Raw genomic sequence first — 26,990 nt, 5'->3', positions numbered from 1 at the left:
AAGCTTTTGGGTCCCCTCTTGCTTCTGAGAGCTTTCTTTCTGTTGCTCAATAAAATTCTACTCTGCCTTACTCACTCTCCAGTGTCCACATACCTTATTCCTTTTGGTCACAGGACAAGAATGTAGAAATCTCTGAACTGCTTGAATGAAAGAGCTGTAACACTCCTGCTCACCAAGCTGTGGGCAGCGAGAGTAAAAGAGCTGTAACATCCCCTTCCACTACCTGAGCTAAGAGAGAGAAAATGCCACTGGGCCCCGCTCCCTCCTGCTCACTGAGCTATGGGAGTGAAGAAGCCACTGGGTGCCACTCCTTCCCACTCACCAAACTATGCGAGCAAAAATGCCACAACATTTCTGGGGGTTCATCCAGGATCAATTAAAGTTTGAGTAAGAGTGGACCTATGACTCTTTACTTTCATTCCGAGGCTTCTTGTCCTCAGATTTTTTACAAAAACAGATAGAACACTGGGCCTTTGTCAGCCAGTTAAGAGTGGATAGTGCAGCTGCTGGTCTATAAGATTCAGAGAACAGGCTTGCAGGGGAGGATTTTGTCAATCCCCCTTCACCCTCGGGTGTTGGAAATGTTCACTTTATTCCAATCCAGCTTCTCTTCCAGAATTCTAGCTGTCATGTGGGATCAGAATAAGGTCCTGGGGCAATTGAAGGTATCTGGCCAAGGCCATGCCTCGACATTACTGGAAGACTCCTGGATTGGCTCCAATTCCCGACAGCCTGTTCAGGTGTTGCACCAAAACTTCCAGTCTTTCCTATCACATTTTCTTTCTTTCAAGACTCTTGTGGCTTCTATCCCTTCTTTATATACAATGTTACAAGTGTTTTTGCAAGCCAAAAAGATAATATTAGTGGGTAGAATGAATACTTGGCTTAGTTATCGGGAGTGTAAACCTGAACCATGTTGTTTCTGTCTATTCTTAGAAACAGGGGGATGTAAAAATTAAGAGAGTTTTCTTTCCCCTGTTGAAGAAACCCATTAGCATAGTGCAAGAGACCACTTCCCCCAGGGACCTTCCCTCCTCTGCATTTAAGTTGTTTCTTTTCCCACCATGTCAGGAATCAACATAATCCTGAAAATACAAGGAGCTTTTCTATGTGAAGGACTGATTTTTTCCTTTTGGAAGACATCTTATTAGGCCAGGTCCCCAGTTCTCAGGGTTCCTTTTCTTTCCTTTGTTTGAGAAGGATCTATTTCCATAGCTTCACCTTACCATTACTCCAGTGTATTTTTCATGCTTCAGTTTGGAGCCCTAAAAAGAAAACTAGATCTGAGGAACCAGAGGAAGTCAACAACAGAAGGCTAGGACAGAGTGCAGGTAAGCATGACTATCCCTGCCAACTAGTCCTTTCTGCTTCATGGGGGAAGGTCATACTCACAACCATGGCATAAGCAGCAAGAGCCCATCCATGGTGCCAGTACCAGTTACTGAGATTTGAGGGATGCTTCAAATTCAAGATTAGCAAGGGAGAGACTAAGGCATGCCTTTTCTCCCCTCTCTCTTTTCAGGTGGGTAACAAACCACCTGCAGCCTGCACTCCCCTCAAGTGTATCCTGAATCACTGGGACTCCTGTGACCCCTCAGACTTTGAAGAAAAAACTTCTTATATTATTTTGCCCCCATCCTAAAAATCATTTTAGGCAGGTCCAAGCCTTGCTCATGCCCCTATAGAAAATGCCTTGTGAATATAACCCATTAAGATACAGGTCTCCTGAACTCTACAGGACTTAAGACAAATTTAGGGGGATCTTGGCAGGTTTTCAGATGACCCGGACAGTTATATAGAGGCTTTCCAGAATTTAACCCAAGTATTTGAACTCTCCTGGAAGGATGTAATGTTACTTTGGAATCGAATCCTGACTACCGCTGAGAAGCAGACAGCCCTGCAAGTGGCAGAGAAATTTGGGGATGAGCTTTGTACCTCATATAGTGCCAAGCAAGGGGAAGAGCTTTATACAATTGGAAAAACAGCAGTACCATTGGAGGACCCTAAATGGGACCCCAATGATGACATGTGTGATGGTTAATACTGAGTGTCAACTTCAGTGAATTGAAGGAGGCAAAGTATTAATCTGGGGTGTGTCTGTGAGGGTATTGCCAAAGGAGATTAACATTTGAGTCAGTGGGCTGGGAAAATCAGACCAACTCTTAATCTGGGTGGGCACCAACTAATCAGCTGCCAGTATATCTCCTATTAGTTCTGTCCCTCTAGAGAACCCTGGCTAATACAGATTTTGGTACCAGGAGTGGTTCTAGAGGAACAGAATATTAAGGATAGAGTTCTTTCATTGGTTTTAGGGTTTCTGGAGTTGGCTGCTTAATATGATTAGACTCAAAAATGCTAAGGACTCTACTTCTAATAGTATGGAGAACACTGACAGTCCTTGGTGTGAACTGCTTATAGAGATACACAAAATAAATGCATTTGACACTCCTGAGTCACCAAACATGAGAGGCAAGGAGTTAAGTGACTATATATATAATACCTTTGACCATATGTGGGGAATGTAATAAAGCTGGTTGGTTGCTCCTAAGTTCAGTAGACAAAGTGATGAAAGAAAATGAGGAACCCAGGGATTCTATCTCCCAACTTCAGAAGCAGATACTGAGCCTCAAATCTGCCAAGGTTTCCCTGAGAGACCTATCTCCTGTAGAGAACGAGCTGAAATTGTGGAAAAAAAGACAGAAGCTCTTATCATGTGAGTGGCTAACCTACAACAAAAAGTGCATGTGCAGCCTTTCCAGGTGTCTACCATTAAAGTGAGGGCATTGATTGGAAAAGAATGGGACCCTGCAACTTGGAATGGGAACATGTGGAAGGATGCTGATGAAGATGGGGACACTGAGTTTGTAAACTCTGATGAAACTTTTTTGCCAGAAGGAAAAGCATCCCCATGCCCAGTAGTGGCAACAGCCCCTCCCCAACCCATGCTGCCATCAGCCTTTCCACCTTTGTCTGAGGAGATAAACCCTGTGCTGCCTGAAGCAACAGTGATGACTTCCCCTGAGGCAGTTGCCAGGAAAGATAATGTTGATTCTTCTCAGGAGCCACACCCAACACCTGTTTGCTTCTAGATCTATAACTAGACTAAAGTCCCGGCAGGCCCCTAGAGATGAGGTTGAGAGTGTGACCACGAGGAGGTGTACTACACTCGAAAATAACTGCTTGAGTTTTCTAATTTATATAAACAGAAATCTGGAGAACAGGCATGGGAATGGATATTAAGGGTGTGGGATAATAGTGGAAGAAACATAGAGTTGGATCAGGCTAAATTTATTGATTTGGGCCCACTAAGTAGGGACTCTGAATTTAATATTGCAGCTTGGGGAGTAAAAAAGGTTCTAGTAGTTTATTTGCTTGGTTAGCTGAAATATGGATTAAAAGATGGCCTACTGTGCCTGATCTCCCTTGGTTTAATATAGAGGAAAGGATCCAAAGGCTTAGGGAGATTGGGATGCTGGAGTGGATTAGTCACTTCAGACCTAATCATCCTAGCTGAGAGGGTCCAGAAGATATAACTTGACCAATGCCTTGCAAAATAGATTTGTGAGGATAGCACCCGCATCTTTGAAGAGCCCTGTAATTGCTCTTCTCTGTATGTCAGATCTAATAGTAGGAACCGCAGTTCTCATCTACAAAATTTAAACACAATTGGAATAATTGGATCCTGAGATGGCAGGGACCAAGTGGCGACACTCAACCATCAAAAGCAAGGTGAGCATAGGTACCGTAATGGATAGCAGAGACAAAGAAGCAATCAGAATAGTCTGACTCAAGTAGAGCTCTAGCATTGGCTAATTAATCACGGAGTTCCTGGAAGTGAAATTGATAGGAAGCCTACTGTATTTCTACTTAATTTATATAAGCAGAAAACTTCTACGTAGAAGGGACAAAAGATGAATTTGAATTATAAAAACAGAGAATCATGGCCCCTCAGTGAAATTCCAGACTTGAGCCAGTTTACAGACACAGAACCCTTTGAATGAAGGGGGAGCCAAGACCTCTTGAGGAAGGACACCACTACACTACTGACAATTTATGCTGTTAATCTTTCTCCCATTCTTCCCCAAGGAAACCTCCAGCATTTTACTAGGGTAACTGTGCATTGGAGGAAGGGAAAAGATCAGATAATTCGGGGACTAATGGTCACTGCCTCTGAGCTGACATTGATTCTTAGGGACCCAAAATGTCACTGTGGTCCTCCAGTTAAAGTAGGGGGTTATGGAGGTCAGGTAACTAATGGAGTTTTAGCTCAGGTCTGAATTGTGGTGCATCCTGTGATTATTCCTCCAGTGCTAGAACACATAATTGGCATAGACATACTTAGCAGGCTGGCAGAACTCTCACATTGGCTCTCTGACAGGTAAGGTGAGGGCTATTATGGTGGGAAAGGCCAAATGGAAGTCATTAGAGCTGCCTCTACCTAGAAAAATAGTAAATTGAAAACAATACCATATCCCTGGAGGGACTGCGGAGATTAGTGCCACCATCAAGGACTCAAAAGACACAGGGGTGGTGATTCCCACCACATTCCTGTTCAACTCTCCCATAAGGCCTATGCAGAAGACAGATAGATCTTGGAGAATGATCGTCGATTATCAAAAGCTTAACCAAGTGGTGACTCCATTTGCAGCTGCTGTACCACATGTGGTTTTATTGCTTGAGAAAATTAACACATCTCCTGGTATCTGGTATGCAGCCATTGAGTTGGCAAATGCCTTTTTCTCCATTCCTGTCCATAAGGCCCACTAGAAGCAATTTGCTTTCAACTGGCAAGGCCAGCAATATACCTTTACTGTCCTACCTCAGGGGTATATCAACTCTCCAGCTTTGTGTCATAATCTTTTTCGGAGACACCTTGATCGCTTTTTACTTCTACAAGATGTCACACTCGTTCATTACATTCATGTCTTATACTGATGAAATCCAGTGAGCAAGAAGTAGCAAACACACAGGGCTTATTGGTGATATATTTGCATGCCAGAAGATGGAAAATAAATCTGACTAAAATTTAGGGAACTTCTGCCTCAGTAAACTTTCTAGGGGTCCAGTTGTGTGGGATCTTTCAAGACATTCCTTCTAAGGTGAAGGATAAGTTGCTGAATTTGACCCCACCTACAACCAAGAAAGAGGCACAATGCCTAGTGGGCCTATTTGGATTTTGCAGGCAAGACATTCCTCATATGGGTGTGTTACTGTGGCCTATTCATCGAGTTACCCAAAAGGCTGCCAGTTTTGAGTGGGCTCCAGAACAGGAGAAGGCTCTGCAACAGATCAAGGATGCTGTGCAAGCTGCTCTGCCACTTGGGCCATATGACCCAGCAAATTCAATAGTGCTTGAGGTGACAGCGGCAGATAGGGATGCTGATCAGAGCCTCTGGCAGGCCCCCATAGGTGAATCACAGCAGAGGCCTCTAAAATTTTGGAGCAGGCCCTGCCATCTTCTGCAGATAACTACTCTCCTTTTGAGAGACAGATGTTGGTCTGTTACTGGGCTTTGGTGGAAACTGAACGTTTGACTATGGGTCATCAAGTCACCATGTGACCTGAACTGCCTATCATGAACTGGGTGCTTTCTGACCCATCTAGTCATAAAGTGGGGCACGCACAGCAGCATTCCATCATCAAATGGAAGTGGTATATACGTGATTGGGCTCAAGCAGGTTCTGAAGGCAAAAGTAAGTTACTTGAGGAAGTGGCTCAAATGCTCCCCTCCTGCCTCCGTACCTTCTCTTCCCCAGCCTGCACTGATGGCTTCATGGGGAGTTACCTATGATCAGTTGAAAGAGGAAGAGAAGATTAAGTCCTGGTTCACAGATGGTTCTGCACAATATACAGGTACCACCCAAAAGTAGACAGCTGCAGCAGTACAGCCCCTTTTTAGGACATCCCTGAAGGACAGTGGTAAAGGGAATTCTTCCCAGTAGGCAGAACTTTGAGCAGTGCACCTGGTTGTGCACTTTGCATGGATAGAGAAATGGCCAGATGTGTGATTATATGCTGATTCGTGAACTGTAGCCAATGGTTTGGCTTGATGATCAGGGATGTGGAAGCAGCATGATTGGAAAATTGGTGACAAAGAAATTTGGGGCAGAGATATGTGGATGGACCTCTCTAAGTGGTCAAAACTGTGAAGATATTTGTATCCCATGTGAGTGCTCACCTATGGGTAACCTCAGCACAGGAGGATTTTAATAATCAAGTGGATAGGATGACCCGTTCTGTGGACACCACTCAGCCTCTTTCCCCAGCCAAGCCTGTCATGGCCCAATGGGCCCATGAGAAAAGTGGCCATGATGGGAGGATTGGAGGTTATGCATGGGCTCAGCAACATGGATTTTCACTCACCAAGGCTGACCTGGCTATGGGCACTGCTGAGTGCCCAATTTGCCAGCAGCAGAGACCAACACTGAGCCCACAATATGGCACCATTCCTCAGGGTGATCAACCAGCTACCTGGTAGCAGGTTGATTATACTGAACCTCTTCCATCAAGGAAGGGGCAGAGATTTGTGCCCAGTGGAATACACACTTACTCCGGATATGGGTTTGTGTATCCTGCCCACAATGCTCCTGCCAAGACTACCATCCATGGACTCACAGAATGCCTTATCCATCATCATGTTATTCCACACAGCATTGCCTCTGACCAAGGCACTCACTTTACAGCTAAAAAAGTGGGGCAGTGGGATCATGCTTATGGAATTCACTGGTCTTATCATGTTCCCCATCATCCTGAAGCAGCTGGACTGATAAAAACTGTGCAATGGCCTTTTGAAGTCACAATTACAATGCCAACTAGGTGATAATACTTCGCTTGGATGAGGCAAAGTTCTCCAGAAGGCCATGCATGTTCTGAATCAGCATCCAATATATGGTACTGTTTCTCCCATAGACAGGATTCACAGGTCCAGGAATCAAGGGGTGGAAGTGGAAGTGGCACCACTCACCATCACTTCTAGTGATACACTAGCAAAATTCTTGCTTCCTGTTCCCATGGCATTACATTCTACTAGTCTAGAAGTCTTAGTTCTAGAGAGGGGAATGCTTCCACCAGGAGACACAACAATGATTCATTAAACTGGATGTTAAGATTGCCACCTGGACACTTTGGGCTCCTCCTACCTTTAAGACAACAGGTTAAGAAGGGAGTTACAGCGTTGGCTGATGTGATTGACCTGGACTATCAAGATGAAATCAGTCTACTACTCCACAACAAAGGTAAGGAACAGTATACGTGGAATATAGGAGATCCATTAGGGCATCTCACAGTATTACCATGCCCTGTGATTAATGTCAATGGGAAACTGCAACACCCCAACCCAGGTGGGACTACAAATGACCCAGACCCTTCAGGAATGAAGGCTTGGGTCATTCCACCAGGAAAAAAAAAAAAAAAAAAAAAAAAAACCTGCTGAGGTGCTTGCTGAAGGCAAAGGGAATACAGAATGGGTAGTTGAAGAAGGTAGTCATCAATACCAGCTATGACCACATGACCAGCTGCAGAAATGAGGACTGTAATTGTCATAAGTATTTCCTCCTTCTTTCATTAAAAACATGTTTGTGCATGTATACACCTGTACTAAGAAAACATCTTCATTTTATTTCCTTTCCCCTCTATCATGTGACATAAGATTTATTGACTTCACCTCAGCATTTAAGTATTATTAACTTTATGTAATAGTATTTGGGTTGGGGATTGGTGCGTTTCCTGATGTACAAAGGATAGTTTTATTATGTTAGGTGTAATTATTACCTTATTGTTGTCTTTATTTGATTATGTATAATCTCAGGACATGTGTATGGGTTCAAGTTGACAAGGGGTTGACTTGTGATGGTTAATAATGACTGTCAACTTGATTGGATTGAGGGATGCAAAGTATTGATCCTGGGTGTGTCTGTGAGGGTGTTGCCAAAGAACATTAACATTTGAATCAGTGGGCTGGAAAAGACAGATCCACCCTTGATCTGGGTGGGCACAATCTAATCAGCTGCCAGTGTGGCTATAATATAAAGCAGACAGAAAATTGTGAAAAGACCAGATGGCCTAGCCTCCCAGCCTACATCTTTCTCCTATGCTGAATGCTTCCTGCTCTGGAACATCAGACTCCAAATTTTTCAGTTTTGGGACTTGAACTGGCTCTCCTTGCTCCACAGCTTGCAGATGGCCTGTTGTGAGACCTTGTGATTTTGTAAGTTAATACTTAATAAATTCCCATATATATATATGATATATATGTAGGAGATATATATATACACATATATATACACAGATATATATATACACACATATACACACACATATATATACACACACACACACAATAGGAGATATAGGAGATATTATTTTATATATATCTCTATATATAAATACATAGATATATATATCTCTATATATAAATACATAGATATATATATCTCTATATATAAATACATATATATATATCTATATATAAATACATAGATATATATATATCTATATATAAATACATATATATATCTATATATAAATACATAGAGATATATATATCTATATATAAATACATAGATATATATATATCTGTACATAAATACATAGATATATATATATATATCTATATATATAGAGAGAGATATATATATATATCTCCTATTAGTTCTGTCCCTCTAGAGAGCCCTGACTAATACAACATGGGAGAATAGAGGAGGAAACACTTTCAGATGTGCATATTGGTTGCTTATGAAGGACTAAAACTAAGCCTCTCAATTACTCCAAACTATCCATGATAGACCAGGGATCAGATGACCCATTTCCTTTCTGGAGAGGCTAAGAGAAGCCTTGGTACACCTCTCTATCCCCTAATTCATTTGAGGGACAACTAATCCTAAAGAGTAAGTTTAGGAGGCAGCCCCTGGTATCAGGAGGAAGCTGCAGAAGCAGGCCATGGGACAAGATAGCACTTTAGAGAACCTCCTGAAAGTGGCTACTTTGGTCTTTTACAACAGGGATCAGGAGGAGACTGAAGAGAGAGAGAGGAGACACAAGAAAAAAGGTACAGTCTCTAATAGCTGCCTTGCAGGCTTAAAAACCCAGAATCCCTGAGATGCACCTGATAACTCCTACAAATGTGGCAAGCCAGGGCACCTTAACAACTGCCCAGGCAGCATGAGGAAGCCACCTTGACCCTGTCCAATCTCTGGAGGGAACCATTGGAGGGTGGACTGTCCCCAGAGATGCAGGTCACTGAGTCCAGAGCCAGACTCACAAATGGTCCAGCAGGACTGAGGAGTCCTTGGGCTTCTCTCCCTGGCTCCAATAACTCAAAATGTCATTGCCATTCAGGAGCCCCAAGTGACTCTGAAAGTTGAAGAGAGGAAAGTGAACCTCCTCTTGGATACCAGCACAGCCATTTCTGTTCTCCTCTCCAGTCCAGGCCTCCCCTCCTCCCTTAGCATGCCTATGAGGGGCATCTCAAGAAAAACTTTAACCTGATATTTTTCCCAACCACTCACTTGCAGTTGGGGAAACCTCTTGCTTACTCGTGCCTTTTAAATCATGCCAGGAGGCCAACTCCTCTGCTACATAGGGATATTTTACCTCATAAGGGAACTACCATCCTTATGGCTCCAAGGCAGGCTCTTTGTCTCCCACTGGTGCAGACTAATACTAATCCAGAAGTTTTGGCAGCTCAAGGGAAAATTGATCAAGCCACAACCACCATACTGGTCCAACTCCACCTTTAGGATCCCACCTGCTTCACTAACCAGAAGCTAGTTTAGTGAGCCCTAAAACCAGAAGCTAGGAAAGGGCTAGAAGCCATCATTGATAACTTGAAGAGGCAGGCCTCCTCAAACCCTGCAACAGCCCTTGTAATACCCCAATATTGGGAGCACAGAAATCCAAATGGGAATGCAGACTGCTCCAGGACCTCCACCTCATAAATGAGGCTGTGGTTCCGATATATCTGGTGGTTCTCAATCCCTATACTTTGCTAACTCAAATACCTGAGGGAACTAAAGGGCTCACAGTCCTGGAACTAAAGAATGCCTTTTTCTACATACCACTATACCCTGCCTCTCAATATTTGTTTGCATTTGAGGATCCCTCCAACCAGACCACCCAGCTAACCTGGATGGTGTACTTCAGGGATTCTGAGACAGCCCCCACCTGTTTGGTAAAGTGTTGTCAAGGGGTCTCTCTGAGTTCCTTTATCCTCAGGTTAAAATTTTACAATATGTAGATGACATTATCTGTTGTGCCCTAACTGAGGAAATCACTCAGGAAGGCAGTAAGCCTCTTCTTAACTTTCAGGGTAACAGAGGACATAAGATCTCAAAATCTAAGACTCAGCTCTGTCAGACTTCAGTGAAGTATCTAGGTCTACTCTTGTCAGAGGAGACCAGGGCAACAGGTGAATAAAGGATTAAGCCCATCTCCTACTTTCCCCTCCTCAAACCCTCAAACAACTGAGGGGGTTCTTGGGCATTACATGATTCTGCAGATTATGGACACCTGGGCACAGTGAGATAGCTCATCCCTTATATCACCTAATGAAAGAAACTCAGGCAGCTAAGACTCACTCCATAATTGGGGAACCAAATATTAAAAGGGCCTTTCACCAATTGAAACAAGCCTTGCTTGAGGCACAAGCCCTTAGTCTTCCCATAGGGAAGATGTTAAATCTTTATGTATCAGTGAGGAAGGTGTATTAGTCAGGGTTCTCTAGAGGGACAGAACTAATAGGATAGATGTATATATAAAGGGGACTTTATTAAGGAGTATTGGCTCACACAATCACAAAGTGAGGTCCCACAGTAGGCTGTCTGCAAGCTGAGAAGAAAGGAAGCCAGTCTGAGTCCCTGAGTCCCAGAGTTGAAGAACTTGGAGTCCAATGTTCAAGGGTAGGAAGCATCCAGCACAGGAGAAAGATTTAGGCTGTGAGACTAAGCCAGTCAGTCTTTTCCATTCTTCTGTCTGCTTTTATTCTAGCCATGCTGGCAGCTTATTAGATTGTGCCCACCCAGATTGAGGGTGGGTCTGCCTTTCCCAGTCCATTGACTCAAATGTTAATATCCTTTAGCAACACCATCAAACACACACCCAGGAACAATACTTTGCATACTTCAACCCAATCAAGTTGACACTCAATATTAATCATCACAGAGTTCTATCCTCAGTCTGAGGCCCACCCCAACAGCCCATGGGCTACTTGAGCAAGGAACTTGATTTAGTGGCTAAAGGATGACTGGCCTGCCTCTGGGCAGTTGCAGCGGTAGCTTAGCTGGTGCCAGAGGCTACTAAGTTAATCATGGGGAAGAACTTAGCCATTTATACCCCACAAAACCTGGCAGGACTGCTGTCTTCTAAGGGGAGTCTCTGGCTAACAAACAATTGCCTCCTCAAATATCAAGCTCTGCTATTGGAGGAATCTACAGTTCAGTTAAGAATCTGGCTCTCCTAAACCCAGCCACCTCCCTCCCAGAGAAACTTGGGAAGCCTGAACATGACTGTGAACAGATAGTAGTGCAAACCTATGCAGCCAGAGAGGACCTCAAAAAAACCCCTTAGAGGATGCAGAATGGACTCTCTTTACAGACAGAATTTCTTTTGTAGAACAAGGGATAAAGGAGAATACACAGTAGTCATCCTGAATGACACTATTGTGAGTGCACCTGTTTTCTCGGGTGCAAGTGCTCAACTAGCTGAGTTAAATGCCCTCATGGGGGCATTTAAGCAAAGGGAAAGCAGTTAACATTTATACTGATTCTAAGTATGCTTTTGCAATCCTCGATGCCCATGCCATGATCTGGAAGAGACAGACTTCCTCACAGCTAATAGGTCTCTCATTAAGTACCATCGGGAAATTAACAGACTATTATCCTTGGTTTTCCTTCCACGGGAAGTGGCATAATACATTGTAAAGGCCACCAAAAGGAGATAGATGAAATTGCTGAGGGAAATAAACTGGTAGATCAAGCAGCTAAATTGGCAGTTAGAGTACCCCAGATTTCTGATCCACTTGAGGCCCCTCTAATCTGGGAGGGCTCCATAAAAGAAACAAAAACTCAGTACTCTCCTGCAGAAATAGAATGGGCCTCCTCTCAAGGATATACCTTTCAGCTACAACTGGAGGATGGCAAACTTCATCTACCAAATTCCAGCCAATGGAAAGTTCTTAAAATCTTTCACCAAGCCTTCCACGTAGGAAAGGATAAAACCTACCAACTGGCTCAAAGGTTGTTGTCAGGTAAAAATGGTCAAACAGGTCATTAATGCTTGTGAGGCTTGCCTTAAAAATAATCCCCCCAGTCAATGGTGTCTCCCCGCTGGAGCCCAAAGAATGGGAGGCTACCTGGGAGAAGACTGGCAAATGGATTTCATCCATATTCCAAAGATAAGGGGCATCCAGTACCTCCTGGTATGGGTATATACCTTCATTAACTGGATAGAAGCATTTTCATGTCTGACAGAGAAAGTCTCTGAGGTGATAGAAGTACTAATTAATTAGATAATTCCTCACTTTGGGCTCCCTAAGTACCTTCAGGCAATAACAGCCTCTCATTCAAGGTTGCTGTCACCCAGGGGGACTCAAAGGCACTAGGTATACAGTACCATCTTCATGGTGCTTGGAGACCACATTCCTTGGGAAAGGCAGAAAAGAAACATGATATTATCAAAAGGCACTTCAGAAAACTTTCTTAAGAGACTCATCTCCCCTGGATTACTCTCATGCCCATGGCACTACTGTTTTAGAAACACCCCTTTGAAGCTGAGTTTAATTCCCTTTGAAATGACGTAAGGACAGCCTTTTCTCACCAATGATTTCCTTCTAGACCAAGAAACCTCTGATTTGATTAACCATGTAACCTTTGATTTGATTAACCATGTAAGTTCTTTGGCCCATTTCCTGCAGGAACGGAAACAAATGTCAAAGGCCCAAACCCATGAACCAAGGCCACCTTTATTCAACCAGGGGACTTAGTACTAGTAAGGACTCTTCCTTTTCTTTCTCCCTCTCTAGGCCCAGATTGGGAGGGATCATACGCTGTACTTCTTTTTACTCCTTTGGCAGTGAAGGTCACTGAAATAGATTCCACTGTGGAACAGATGGTCACTGAGCTATGGGAGTGAAGAAGCTGCTGGGAGCCACTCCCTCGCACTTGCTGAACTACAGAAGCAAAAAAACTGCAACACCAGTGGGGCCTCTGTATGGGGGCTCCAACCCCACATTTCCCTTCTGCACTCCCCTAGCAGAGTTTCTCCATGAGGGCTCCGCCCCTGCAGCAAACTTCTGCCTGGACATCCAGGCATTTCCATACATCCTCTGAAATCTAGGCAGAGGTTCACAAACTACAATTCTTGACTTCTGTTCACCTGCAGGCTCCACACCATGTGAAAGCTGCCAAGGCTTGGGGCTTGCACTGTCTGAGGCCACAGCCTGAGCTGTACCTAGGCCCCTTTTAGCCACAGCTGGAGTAGCTTGGATGCAGGGCACCAAGACCTAGGCTGCACACAGCAAGGGGCCCTGGGCCCGGTCAATGAAACCATGTTTCCTTCTAGAGCTCCTGGCCTGTAATGGGAGGGGCTGCCAAGACTGTCTCTGACATGCCCTGAGGATGTTTTCTCCATTGTCTTGGTGATTAACATTCAGCTCCTTGTTACTTAAGCAAATTTCTGCAGCTGGCTTGAATTTCTCCCCAGAAAATAGGTTTTTCTTTTCTATCACACTGCCAGGCTGCAAACTTTCCAAACTTTTGTGTTCTACTTCCTCTTTAATGCTTCGATGCTTACAAACTTCTTCCACCAGATGTCCTAAATCATCTCTCTCAAGTTCAAAGTTCCACAGATCTCTAGGGCAGGAGCAAAACACTGCCAGTCTCTTTGCTAAAGCATAGCAAGAGTGACCTTCACTCCAGTTCCCAACAAGTTCCTCATTTCCATCTCAGACAACCTCAGCCTGGACTTCATTACTATCAGCATTTTGGTCAAAGCCATTCAATAAATCTCTAGCAAGTTCCAAACTTTCCCAAATCTTTGTGTCTTCTTCTGAGCCCTCCAAACTGTTTCAACCTTTGCCTATTACCCAGTTCCAAAGTAGCTTCCACATTTTGGGGTATCTTGATAGCAGCACCCACTCTCTGTGGTACCGATTTACTGTATTAGTCCATTAGTCCATTCTCACATTGCTATGAAGAAATACCCGAGACTGGGTTATTTATAAAGGAAAGAGGTTTAATTGACTCACAGTTTCACATCACTAGGCAGGCCTCAGGAAACTTACAATCATGGCAGAAGGCAAAGGAGAAACAGGCACCTTCTTCACAGGGCAGCAGGACACACTGAATGCATGCAGGGGAAATGTCAGATGCTTATTAAACCATCAGATCTCGTGAGACTCACTATTAAGAGAACAGCATGGGGAAAACCACCCCCACTATTCAATTATCTCCACCTGATCCACCCTCAAAATGTGGGGATTATGGGGTTTATAATTCGGGATGAGATTTGGGTAGGGACACAGTCTAGTCATATCAAACCCCCAACTAACATGTGATCTCCTCCAAATACAATCAAAAACTTATTTTGTGTCCAACACCTCAAAAAGGCTTACAATGGGAAGCCATCCAATTTCTAGAGATTGCACTGAGGTGCTTTTATGGCTGAGGCATCAATTTGTAAAGACTGAATATAATAGTGTCCAGCTGAAATTAACTCCATATACTGTCTGCATAGTTATGTGGGCTCTGTTTAATGTAAAATATTGCCTTTGACTGTAGGAATTCCCTATTTTCACTCCAAAAGTCAAGCAATTCTGTAGAAGTGGTCTTTGACAGCATGGGGTAAGATAACAAGTCAATCTCTTAAAAATTGTACTACACAATGCCTTGCCTCTTATTTATTTGCTGTTAATGTGTCACCATCAACACTTTAAGTCATAATCAGAATACAATGTTTTTAACATTTTTTTCAACATCTCATTTATGACTGATAATCTAATGTTAACCAACAATTTCCCTGGCCTGTCCAGGCATTGTCACTGTATTTAGTTTAGTAAGCAGAATACTACACATACATACACATACACATACACACACACATACACATACACATACATCCATGTCCCTGAAACATTGAGCTTCTCCTGAGTCCATAACCATCTGTATCTTTTCTCATTCCTCATCTATTCCTATAGCATTTTTGTCCATGCCTAGGGCTTATCCTATTATATCTTTGCTGGCTTCATCTAATTCTACCTGGATGTTCCACTGCCTAACACTAAACATTTTTTTTAACTTTCACTTAAGTCAGTTCCTCTTCTTGCTTTCATGATTTTGATTAATGGCACTTGCCAACCTGAAATGTGCCATTATTCTAATTATTTTAAGCTTTCTCAAATCACATATTAAAAATCCATTGCTCATTCTCTATTCACTTACTTCTTTCTTATTATAAGTTTCATTGTTTTCACAAGATGTTGCTGCAGCCTCTAATATGTCTCCCTGCTTAACAAATTTCTCAGACAAAATAACATTACTAAAAGACATACATACTTGCACATCATTCATCTATGTATTACCATCGAATGGCACTCCGCTATCCACTGGATAAAGTTTAAATTCCTAAGATTACTCTATAAGATCATCCATAGGGATAACTCAAGCCTATCTCTCTAACATTATCTTATACTGCTCCAATAAATATAACACCCTATACTAAGCCATGCCATATTACCTCTTCCTTTTTGTTGCCTCTGTTAATAATGTAGAACTGCATTTATTACAGAACATTGCAATTGTGTCATTGCATAGTCCTTCCATTCACCTATGAGCTACTAGCAAACAAGGATGGCATATTATTCATTTTTCTCTCTCTAGCATAATACCTTATCCATAATAGTCACTGTATAAATGTGTATTTAGTGAACAAATGGCTCTACCACAAGTGAATGTCCTGTTTATGTTTCATTCGTGGAACAGATTCAACCTATTCTTCTGAGGTAGAAATGGCATGAAAGTAAAATTATAATTTATATTTTTTATATTCATGTATAAATATGTATATTCATGTTTATACAGGAACTTACTTAGGAATGTTATTTCCCTAATTCAGTCACTAGGTGGTATGTACTATAAGAGACTTGCTGAAAACATTATTCATTTTTGCACTATAGAATGATAATGAGTGTGAAAGATTTAGTGGCTCTAAAAAATACATTTACTGATTTACTATGACCAACCGTAGCATTATGTAACTATGACTTTAAGCCATAACACATTTATATTTTAGTAATACCTTTCAAAGAGTCTGATTTAAGTTCTATCTTTTGACTTCTAGCCATGCACATGTATATCAAATTTACTATGCATTCATAACAAAATCAAAGATTAAAGAGTGACAATTCAAGATAACCTTGTTTAAATTATTGCAAACATTTTTCTTATGGTCAAAATTAGCTTAATCTCTTTGCCACGTGATTCTGTTTTATTCCTGATTGAGGTTCCCTGCAACATTAGCAAGCACATGAAAAGAAGTAAAGCACATTTATTTACAGCCATGTAATTTTCAGCAGAGGGAAACAACTAGAAAGGGGTAGAGGCCCTGGTATGGATATATCTTGATACAGTGGCATTACACTTGTTCTATGGATATAGATCAACTAATTACAAGCTCAAGGGGTTCACAGTGTTGCACACAGAGAATGGTATTATATTTGGAGAAGATGGTAACAAACAACATGCAATAATCTAAAAAATAATTTGGACTCGGGGAAAATCAAATCCTGGTACTGCAGGTATCTTTACAGACAGAGTATGGAAGAAAAAAAATGTAAATGCAAGTGAAAATAAATAAACAGATAGTAGATGTAGACAGGAATGGAAAGTCTGCAAAGGTGAGTGGCAGAAGACCATGAAGAAACAGGAAGACCAGATAAAACAACTTGACTTTCACATACAGTGGAGGGACTGAAATCTCTGGCCAAGAATATGATTCTAGAACATATATTCGATTTTTCAACAATAATATACTGTTTGAAATTATTCAGTGGGGGTAAAATCTACACACAATTACAGAAATGTAAACTTATAAATATTTTTCCTTAAAGCTGTGGAGATTTTCAGTAATGATGAACAAGGTTATGTGGAATAACACTCCATTTAAAAGCAAGTAGCAAATATGGTCAAAATATGAACAAAAATAAATGTGTTTGAAAGCATTGGATAATGTAACAATGTAATGAAGAATAATAGATTCACAATCCAAGAGAATAGCGACATGCATGCAGATGAGCCTTGCACTTAGAGTTCATTTTCTTCTGAATCTTTGGCTGCTGCCAGACAATTCTGATGGAGAAAGCAAAGAAATTGAAACAAGGACTACAACTGAAGCTGAAGACCTTCCAAGAAATGGGTTCCAGTGATCACCCCATGGTTTGGATTGAGACTCTGAGGGCTACATACAAGGAATAAGAATGATCCTCATTCCTAGAAATAGACTTGACCTACAGGTACTAAAGTGAAACTTTGAATCATCTCAATCACCCATTGGATTAAGGTGACATGGAATTAATAGTGCTTCTAGCACAGTTGCCTGCAAGATGTCAGTAAAAGATTTCTTTGGAAGAAGATAAAATCACTCTTGAGCCTTAAGTTAGCCCTCTATTTCTTAGGAAAATAATGTCTTGCACCCAAAAAGAAAAAAATAAAACCAAACAACAACAACAACAATAGGCATATGAAACGTAAGACTGTATGACCAAACCCAGGAGAAATGATGGACATTAGAAACTCACCAACAAGAATGCAGAAAATGAAGAACTCAGTCACAACCTTTAATTTGTGAACTGGAAGACTAATCCAAAGAAAGCAACTGGCTGGCATAGGAAGAAGCTAAAAGATATAGAAAAGAATATAAGGTACAAAGTAAAAAAAGGGGAGAAATTCTTCAAAAATGTAAATTGGACTCCCAGGTTGGAAAAGAGAGAAAATGACGAAGAAGCAAGCAATATTTTAGGAGATAATGGCTGAGAATTTTCCCAACTGATAAATGACATCAACACATAAATTCAAAAAACATGGTAAACTACATGTAATATAAATAAAAAGAAAAACATATTTATGTATATTAAAACGTAATTACTGATTATTACAGATAAAGGGGAAATTTTAAATGTAGCCAGAGGGAAATATAGATATATTGTATTCAAAGGGAGAACAGTAAAAATGACAGACAACTTCTCAATAGAATAAGGAGAGCCAGAAGATGATGGAACAGTATCTTCAAAGTGCTGAAAGAAAATATTTACCAATATACAACTGTGTACACAGTGAAAATATATTTCAAAAATGAAGATAAGGGCATTTTTAAACAAAATGAAATAATGTGTTGTGAATAGGCTTACATTTAGGAATTTTTATTTATTTATTTTTTTAGACTGAGTCTTACTCTGTTGCCCACGCTGGAGTGCAGCGGCGCGATCTCAGCTCACTGCCACGTCCGCCTCCTGGATTCAAGCGATTCTCCTGCCTCAGCCTCCCTAGTAGCTGGGATTATAGGCAGTCACCACCACGCCCAGCTACTTTTTTTTTTTTAATTTTTAGTAGAGATGGGGTTTCACTATGTTGGCCAGGCTGGTCTCAAACTCCTGACCTCTTGATCTGCCTGCCTCGACCTACCAAAGTCCTGTGACTACAGGCATGAGCCACTGCACCCAGCCAAGGATTTTTTTTTAATCTTCATCATTTAGAAGGCAAATGATCTCAGATGCAAGCTCAGGGATATATGAAGTAATGATGATAAATGGCATAGGTAAATATGTGAGTATATCTAAAAGAAAATTAATTGTGTTAACAATAATAATGGAGTCTTACAGAATAAAAAATCTATACAAATGAAAATGTGGCAATAGTAGAATAGCAAAAAAGGAAAGGGAATAAATAAAGTTCAAAGATCCTGGGAAGAAGTAAAAGTACTAGTTTATATTAGAATGTGATGAGTAAAAAACTCAAGCAGTCATCTGTAATATGTCCACTAAATATTAACAAGTTATTATTAAAACTAGAGGAAAAATAGAATAAGAAAGTAATAAATTAGTCAAAAAGGCCAAGGAAGGAAAAAAAAAATAAAAGAAGAGGGAATAATAAAAAGAAAGTATGTAGTAAAATTTATCCCAATATGTCATCTAATTACATTGAATGTAAGTATACTAAATGTTCTAATCAAAATAAGTATGCTGTCAGACAGAAATTAAAAGTAAAATTTAAGCATATGCTGTGTTCAAAATACAAAAGTAAAATATGTAGATTAAAAATAGTGAAAGCAAAGTGAAGAAAAGTATATGCCATGCAGACACCAAAAATAAATCTGGTCTGGCTTGAATAATACACAAAGATTTTAATACAAGGGTTTTAAAAAAAAGAAAAGGGACACCCATGATGTTAAAAGCCACAGGGTAGATATAACAATTCAAAAGTTTTTGCATGTTGCCTCAAACTATAAACCTCAAACGTTTAAAAGAACAAGTATGCCTATAATGGCATCTCAATATATGTCCTTTAAAAATAATACCGAACAAAGTGTGAAGTACAAGAAACCACGAAAATTAGAACTTCAGAACAGTCTGCTCAAATTTACAAGTAACTGAAGTACATAGACAGAAATTGCCAAATTCCAGTAAACAATCTCTCATGTCTCCACCCTACTCTAAACCTTCATAGAGGAAGAGCAACCTGAGAAAAAAATGCTTGGAAAAGAGGAATGCTAGCAAAGCATAACCATCAACAGAAAGAGTAAGTCCATCCTAAATAGTCAAATAGGGAAACAATTTCCTGGTAGACAGGATTGCAGGGAAGGAAATTAGAAAAACATGCAACGTTAAGTGGAGGACTTCATAAGGCATGATTTCTGGGAGAAAAGGCCAAAAGAAAAGTAGCTATGCTCTTTGGCAGATGAATAATGAAAGGGAAAAAATGCAATGCGAACATTTAGGATCCTACACAACATTTAAAAAAAAAAATGAAGGACACATAACTCAAAAAAATCCACTAAAAAAACCAGCTTTGTTATAAGATACAAGAAGGCATTAATTAATTAGGAATGTTAGAAACAATACCAAATCAACCAAAATAAGCAGAAGAAAAAATATTAATCCATAGAGAGTTGTTCCAAAAATTAAAATAAAACAATTAATTACATCTGAACTGACAAAAATTCCCTCACAAAATATTCATGAAGCAGAAGAAAACTGTAAGTCACAATTCAAAACTGAGTTACATACACTCAAAGAAGAATTTGGAGAAACAGATCCTTGACTGATAAATTGAACATTAAAGGCAGAAGAGGAGGAAAGAGAAAAGAAATAAAAAGAGCCGACAACTCAGGAAAAAAAATGAAAGCAAAAGACAAAATTATTTAAGAAATAAAAAATAAATTACAAAATACCTAAGAGAAAATAAACTCAAATGAAAATCTATTAAGGAACATTGAAGAATGGTGGGGAAACAACCAAGGGAATGATAACTTTTCAAAACATCAAAAAATTATGTCAGACATACATATGCTTCTTCCTTCTGCTATATTCACTTGTTAGCCATTGAAACTGTTTCCCTAGCCACACACACTGAATAAGCCTTTCTTAATAGAGTTTGGGATTAAAGTACATACAAGGAAGTATTTGCATTCCTCAGTTTGTAAATCAAAAATGAAGTGAAAGATAAAGACTTTTGGGAGCATTTGAATATGCAAGAAAAGCATAATTAAGAAAGTATGTAATTACAGCATACAAATTCTTCTAAAAGCACAGCTAGCAATGGGAGACATGAAAAAACTTAATAACAATATGATAAATAATAACATAATATAGAACATTTTAAAATACCTTACGCACAAAAGTGTAACCACACGCCAAGTCTGGCTGCTCACTGCTGAGAGCCAGAAAACATGAGAGGCAAGGTGTGGCGAAAGGCAGGCAACTTCACTCAAATTCTAGCAGTTGGGGAATGGACAAGCTTATTCCCTTAAAAAACCATTCAAAACTTTAGACTGGGGAGAAGGGTTTTAAAAGGGCAACCTGGAATGGAAGGCATGCAGGAGTGGTGCTGGATACAAGGTCTGTGTGTCCTGTTCTGGTGACTATCTTGAGTCATGGTCCACCTGGAGCAGGGGTCGCCAACCCTCCAGTGGCAGACTGGAACCAGGCCACACAACAGGAGGTGAGCCATGGGCAGGGGAGCATTACCACTTGAGCTTTGACTCCTGTCAAATTAGCAGGGGCATTATATTATCACAGGAGCGCAAACCCTATTGTGAACTGTGCATGTGAGGGATCTAGGTTGCAAGCTCCTTATAAGATTCTAATGCCTGATGATCTGAGGTGGAACAGTTTTGGCCCCAAACTAAACCCCTGCCCTCATCCATGAAAAAATTGTCTTCCATGAAACCAGTCCCTGGTGCCGAAAAGTCTGGGGACTGCTGACCTGGAGCATAGGCTGACATCATCTCAACAATAGCCAGATTGTTGACAAACCGCCTTGAGGTAATCTCTGGAATTTCGGGTGTCCATGCCTGGCTTGTTTCAAGATTAGCCCCTGGAACTTCTAAGTAAGGATATAACTAGATAAGCTACCAGTACAAGGGGATGTTTGGTGGGGAGGGAGGTAAACAGAGTTGTAAAGTATGTTTCAAGGCTAAAACCAAGAAAGGAAAAATTGTTTCAAAATGAATTTTGAAGTTAAGCTACTCCATCACAAAAGTACATGTGAATTTTTCTTTTTCCTCAGGTAAAACTTCAGAATCACATATTTTAAGAAATCTCATTAATGATGAGAGAACTTCAAGGTGCTCTTGTTAGTGGGATAAGAAAATGAATAAAAAGTCAAACTCTGAACAAATTTCATTATCCAGCATTTGCTAACTAGGTAGTTTTGAAATCTGTATTTCAAAAGATAAGACATTAAAATAATTTTTCCACTATATTAGAATGAACTCTAGATTATTTCAAGATCTTTAGAATGACTCTGGAAGTTTATAACACAGAATCAAACAAAACTATAGGATATAGAATATAAAAAGATACAGTTTAAAACTCTAAAAGGGGTGTGTGTCTAACAGATGGAAAGAATACATACATTTGTGCTTGTATTACAAAATTTCATGCATTCTAATAAGACAATAACGTAAACTGACCACTCCTTTTTTAGCTTTGGGTGTGCATTATAGAATGACTGTAAAAGAAGAGCTCAGCCCTTAGTTAGGCTTATGAGAAAAACTGCCCTACATGTGGGCAGCAACAGATCTTGAGGCCTGAGCAGACTCTGGTTAATAAGACACCTCAGGCTGCTTAGAAAGTCACTGCTAAGCATTATAATTTTCTTCCCGGTGACCAAATATCTTTACTTCTTGGAAAATTTTGATTAAGAATAGAGATGAAGAAGTCAATCTATGATATTAATTTGGAAATCTGACAATTTCCAAAGCAATTCTGAAGACATCAACATCTGGAATAGAAATACAGTTTCAACTTCAATCCTATTAACTGTCTTTTAAATATGTAAAAATCACAAAGTTACAAATGGCAAGAGAGATATAGAGAAAATATAATCTTGTTATTATCCTATAGACTAACACACAAATATATGGATTAAAAACCAAAGGAAATAAATAATATTTTAAAATATTTTAGTGTTAGAATTTGGGTAAGAAATATACACTGCTTTCTTAAGATATGATCCATAGTTTGCTAACATCAAGAAAATTTTTAAATTGAAATTAATACATAATTTTTTTGTTTTCTATTAAATAAAACTATTATAATCTACATAGAGAAGAGAGAAAAAGCTGTAGATTATGTGGCCATGATCTCAATTTCGCTGGAGAGTTGTGGTTACATGTTCCCCGTTTGCTATTAAAAACAAGTATATTAGGGATTTCTGTCCATGTACACTACTTTCATACTGAAGAATCAGAGGTTATAGCGAGTCATGGAGAAGGGGAGGAAGAAAGAGAGTAATAGATAAAGGAAGGGAAGAAAAGAGGAATAGATGGAAAGAGAATGAGAATAAATTTTACATTCTCTCAGCAATGAACCAATTTGCTTTTTAATATTGAATCTTTCCTCTGCAATGTTTTTGGACACAACAGCCAACAACATAAAAAAATCTACCTATGTGATTCCAATGAAGTTTCCCTTCATATGCTGTCTTCTTCCATAGAACCAATTCATTGTCATCGACTCCCTTTTTCTACTCTATTTTGAGGCTGGGCCAGGAGAGACCAAGGTGGGCCATCAGTGCCACACTCACTGCCTGGTGCCTGGGTCCCTCAAGTACAGAAACTGGGCTTCATTCTACCTTGTTGCCTTTCACAGCCAGCTCCCACTGGCAGATGTCCACTGGGTCTCCCTTACTTAAGTGGTTCATCCTGCAAACATTTTTATATGCACCTCAGAATCTCTTTTACCACAATTCCCCATTTTATTAATGTTATAAATTATGAAAATATAATTAAACTGCTTAAACTGGAAAAGCTAAGACTCATGTTTTGCTTTTGAATATATCCAAGACAAGTGCTGAACATCCAGTGTAATTTATTGTTATAATGCACATGTTAAAAATATACTGTCACTGCAGAATAGTAGTTTTAGAGTCAGCTCTGATTTCAAATCCCAGCTCTCTCACTTACTACCACTTTATATTCATTGACTTGAAAATTATTTATCATTATGAACCAGACACTATGAGAGGTTAGAGAAAAAACAATGGACAAAAAGAGACAGAGTATCAGACCTCTCAGAGCTTGAAATGGAAGAAATAAATATTGATCAAGAATGATATTGATAAGTGTATTATTACAATACAAGAACCATAAACTGAGGCAATGTTCTAAGAAAAAAGGAAACAAGAGTCTAGGTTCTATGAGATAGGGAATAAAACATAACCTGGCCTAGAGTGAACAGAGGAAAAACTTCCCTAAGAAAATGAGGCTTGAACTGATATCTGAAGAATGCATAGGAACTAATAGCCTTAAAAGCTGTTAATTCAAAAAGATCTCTTCAAAAGAAAACTGAATTCTAATATTTTACATGGTATCTTTTTCATGTTTGTTAATTAATAATAAGAAACATGATTATGTGGAGAATAATTTTTATTAGTCTAGCTGATACAATAGCCCATCTTTCAAAGACAGGTGATTTTAAGTTGTGTTAGGGCATATGCAAAGGCCCAGCCTCAGGAGAGGCCATGATGCATTTCAGCACCTGAAAAAAAGAGACAAGGGGGTTTGTTGCAAGATTCAGTAAGCAATGGCAGGGGCCAGAACATCCCAGTCCCTGTTCACCTTGTTAATAATTATTGTCCTCATCTCAACAACAATGGGAAGTCACTAAAAGATCTGACATAAAAATAGTTATATTTTAATTAGATCACTCTGTTTCCTGAGTGGGTATACCTTGTAGAGAATATTATTGTAATACTCCCAACAAAGGAGGAATGTGATTTGACTAGGGTTAGTTCCAGCAGTAGAAATGGCAAAGCATGGATATAATATATTAGAGAGTTGAGAAAAGAAAAATAAAGAATCTGATGATAAATTGGATATAGAGTGAGGGATGTAGAGGAGCAACAAGGATGGCTTTGAGTTTTCTGGTTTGCCTAACAGGATGGGTGATGATGACAATCACTGAAATACGTACCAAGGTAGTGTTACAGGAGATAGAAAGAAATCATTTAGGTAGTTAGGGTAAAGAGAGTCCCTGGCAGAAAACTTTCTTTCTAACAAAAAGCAGCTCAGAAATTGCTCCCATTCTAACCTCACGCAGTTCAAAGAAATCACCTCTCTTCTAACAAAGAGCAGCCTGGAAGATCAGGCTGAAAAACACAGACAAGCAACTTGGGCACAGAGCTGGAAGTGTCCTGGGTAATCACCAAACTTCACATACAAACAATAGGCCCCAGTAAAAACAGTGTGCCATAATAAGCACATTCATCTCCCTTTCTTTAAGCACACAAAGATAGGGAAGCTGAGCTGGAAGCGCGGGAGTGGAGGGAGGGAGTGGGGTGAGATGGGGTGGGGGTCGGGGTATGGGGCGAGTCAGGGACACCTGCAGCTGCAAGAAAGTGCCTGGAACAGGCACAGAAACTCTCCCTCCCTTTTAGCATGCTCAGATAAGCAGCGCAGAGCAGCACAAACTAAGAGTCGGCCTGCACAAGGGGTGGGGACTACTAGAGGCTCTGCCCTCAACATACGGCACACCCGGTCCTAACCAGTTCTTCAGGCCCCACGGAGATAAGACACACCCTCCTCACTAGCCCATTTATATAAACCCTGACATTTTTACTACCACTCAGCAACCCATTTGGGACCCCTCTCTGTGACAGAGAGCTGTTCTTTTCTTTTGCCTATTAAACTTTTGCTCCAATTTCACTATGCGTGTGTGCGTCTGAGTCTTTGATTTCCTTGGCCATGAGACCAAAACCTGGGCATTTACCCCAGGCAATGAGGCCTTTTAGTAGAGATGGGAGATACTATGAGTTCATGTATGAATATGTTGAATCTGAGATGCCTTTGAGACATCCAAGGTGGAGGTTCAATTAAGAAGTTGGCTGAACATACCTGGATTTCAAAAGAAAGATCTGTTCTGAATATTTGAGAATTAATATAGAGATGGTAACTGAACCTGTGGGCATGGGATAAATTACCTAGGAAAAGAGGATAACGTACTTGTTTCTAACCCTATTGGAATTAAAGGATCTTTTTCTCATTTAAAAAAATGTTGTTTTTTGTTTTTGAAATGCCCCTTTACTATCCTGAAATGAAATAAATATCATAACCTATTTATATACATAATGAGATAATACTCATGAAAGTGCTTCACAATGTGGATAATTGTTTACCTATAGTTCTTTCCCAGCTGACTAAAACAATGATGGATATGTTACATAAAAGCAGTAAAACCAAATAAAATTCATATTATGCCTAATTACTATATGACACAGTAACCATAATAATTATACACATAATTATATGTCAGATCAATTTTGCTTCAGGTTTTAATTAATTCCAAAACAAAACTCATCAAATGTGGTAAACTTTAATAGACTCTTTCACAAAGCATAGTCCTACCTATATATTTCAAAAATATGCAGAACATTATTCTCCAGAGATATAGAAAAAAATTATATGTATGGAAAATGAAAGCATTCTAGTTCTTTCAGAGCAAGCTACATGCAGGTGAATATTGATTAAAACATACATAAATTGTATTTAATGTGAACAAATATATAATAGTTTTGTGCACATAAACTCTAAGGCAAACACATAATGCTAAAAATCATAAATAAAAAATCTAAAGCCACTGAAGTATACATAAAGCAATTTATTATACTTCCAAAAAATAGATCAGCCAAAATAATGCACATTCAATTAGTGTAAAGTAAAAGTAAATTTAAAGAAGATAACTTCATAAAAACTTTATGAAATCACAGAAATATCTCAAATCCCTTTATATGTAAAGATGAATATGTGCACACCTAAAGAGCTAAGATAGGAGGCTACTGTCTCCCAAAATAAATGATACGCAATATAGCCAAGTTAAACGAAGATATAATCAAAGCTTAGGCATTGATTACAACTAGAATTGAGTAACAGAAGCAAATGTCAATAAACAGTTTCTTTTCTTGTTCTTTTTTTCGTTTTTGTTGTTTTGAGACAGAGTCTGGCTCTGTCGCCCAGGCTGGAGTGCAGTGGCACAATCTTGGCTCACTGCAACCTCTGCCTCCCAGCTTCAAGCAATTCTCCTGCCTCAGCCTTCCAAGTAGCTGGGATTACAGGCATGCACCACCATGCCTGCCTAATTTTGTATTTTTAGTACAGACAGTGTTTCACCATGTTGCCCAGGCTGGTCTCAAACTCCTGACCCCTGGTGATCCACCTGCCTTGGCCTACCAAAGTGCTGGGATTACAGGTGTGAGCCACCATGTCTGGCCTGACAGTTTCTTTTTAAT

General features: G+C 39.9%; 1 protein-coding gene across 20 annotated transcripts in view; it reads right to left on the bottom strand.

The window, feature by feature from the left end:
* SPAG16 (sperm associated antigen 16) overlaps window positions 1–26,990 on the bottom strand; it is a 1,126,038-nt gene that overhangs the window by 933,507 nt on the left and 165,541 nt on the right. The window contains exon 1 of one of the 20 annotated variants that reach the window (XM_024453140.2): window positions 12,533–12,641. The exons of the other annotated variants lie outside the window; for them this stretch is intronic. Within the exon in view, the coding sequence (XP_024308908.1) occupies window positions 12,533–12,556 (24 nt within the window). The 5' untranslated portion in view covers window positions 12,557–12,641. Of the gene's footprint in view, window positions 1–12,532; window positions 12,642–26,990 lie in introns of those variants that run through there. 20 annotated transcript variants of the gene reach the window in all.

The sequence above is a fragment of the Homo sapiens genome, chromosome 2 (assembly GCF_000001405.40).
Source record: "Homo sapiens chromosome 2, GRCh38.p14 Primary Assembly".
Classification (NCBI taxonomy): domain Eukaryota; kingdom Metazoa; phylum Chordata; class Mammalia; order Primates; family Hominidae; genus Homo; species Homo sapiens.
The sequence above is the reverse complement of the archived record's forward strand: the minus strand, read 5'-3'. Positions and strand labels throughout refer to the sequence as shown.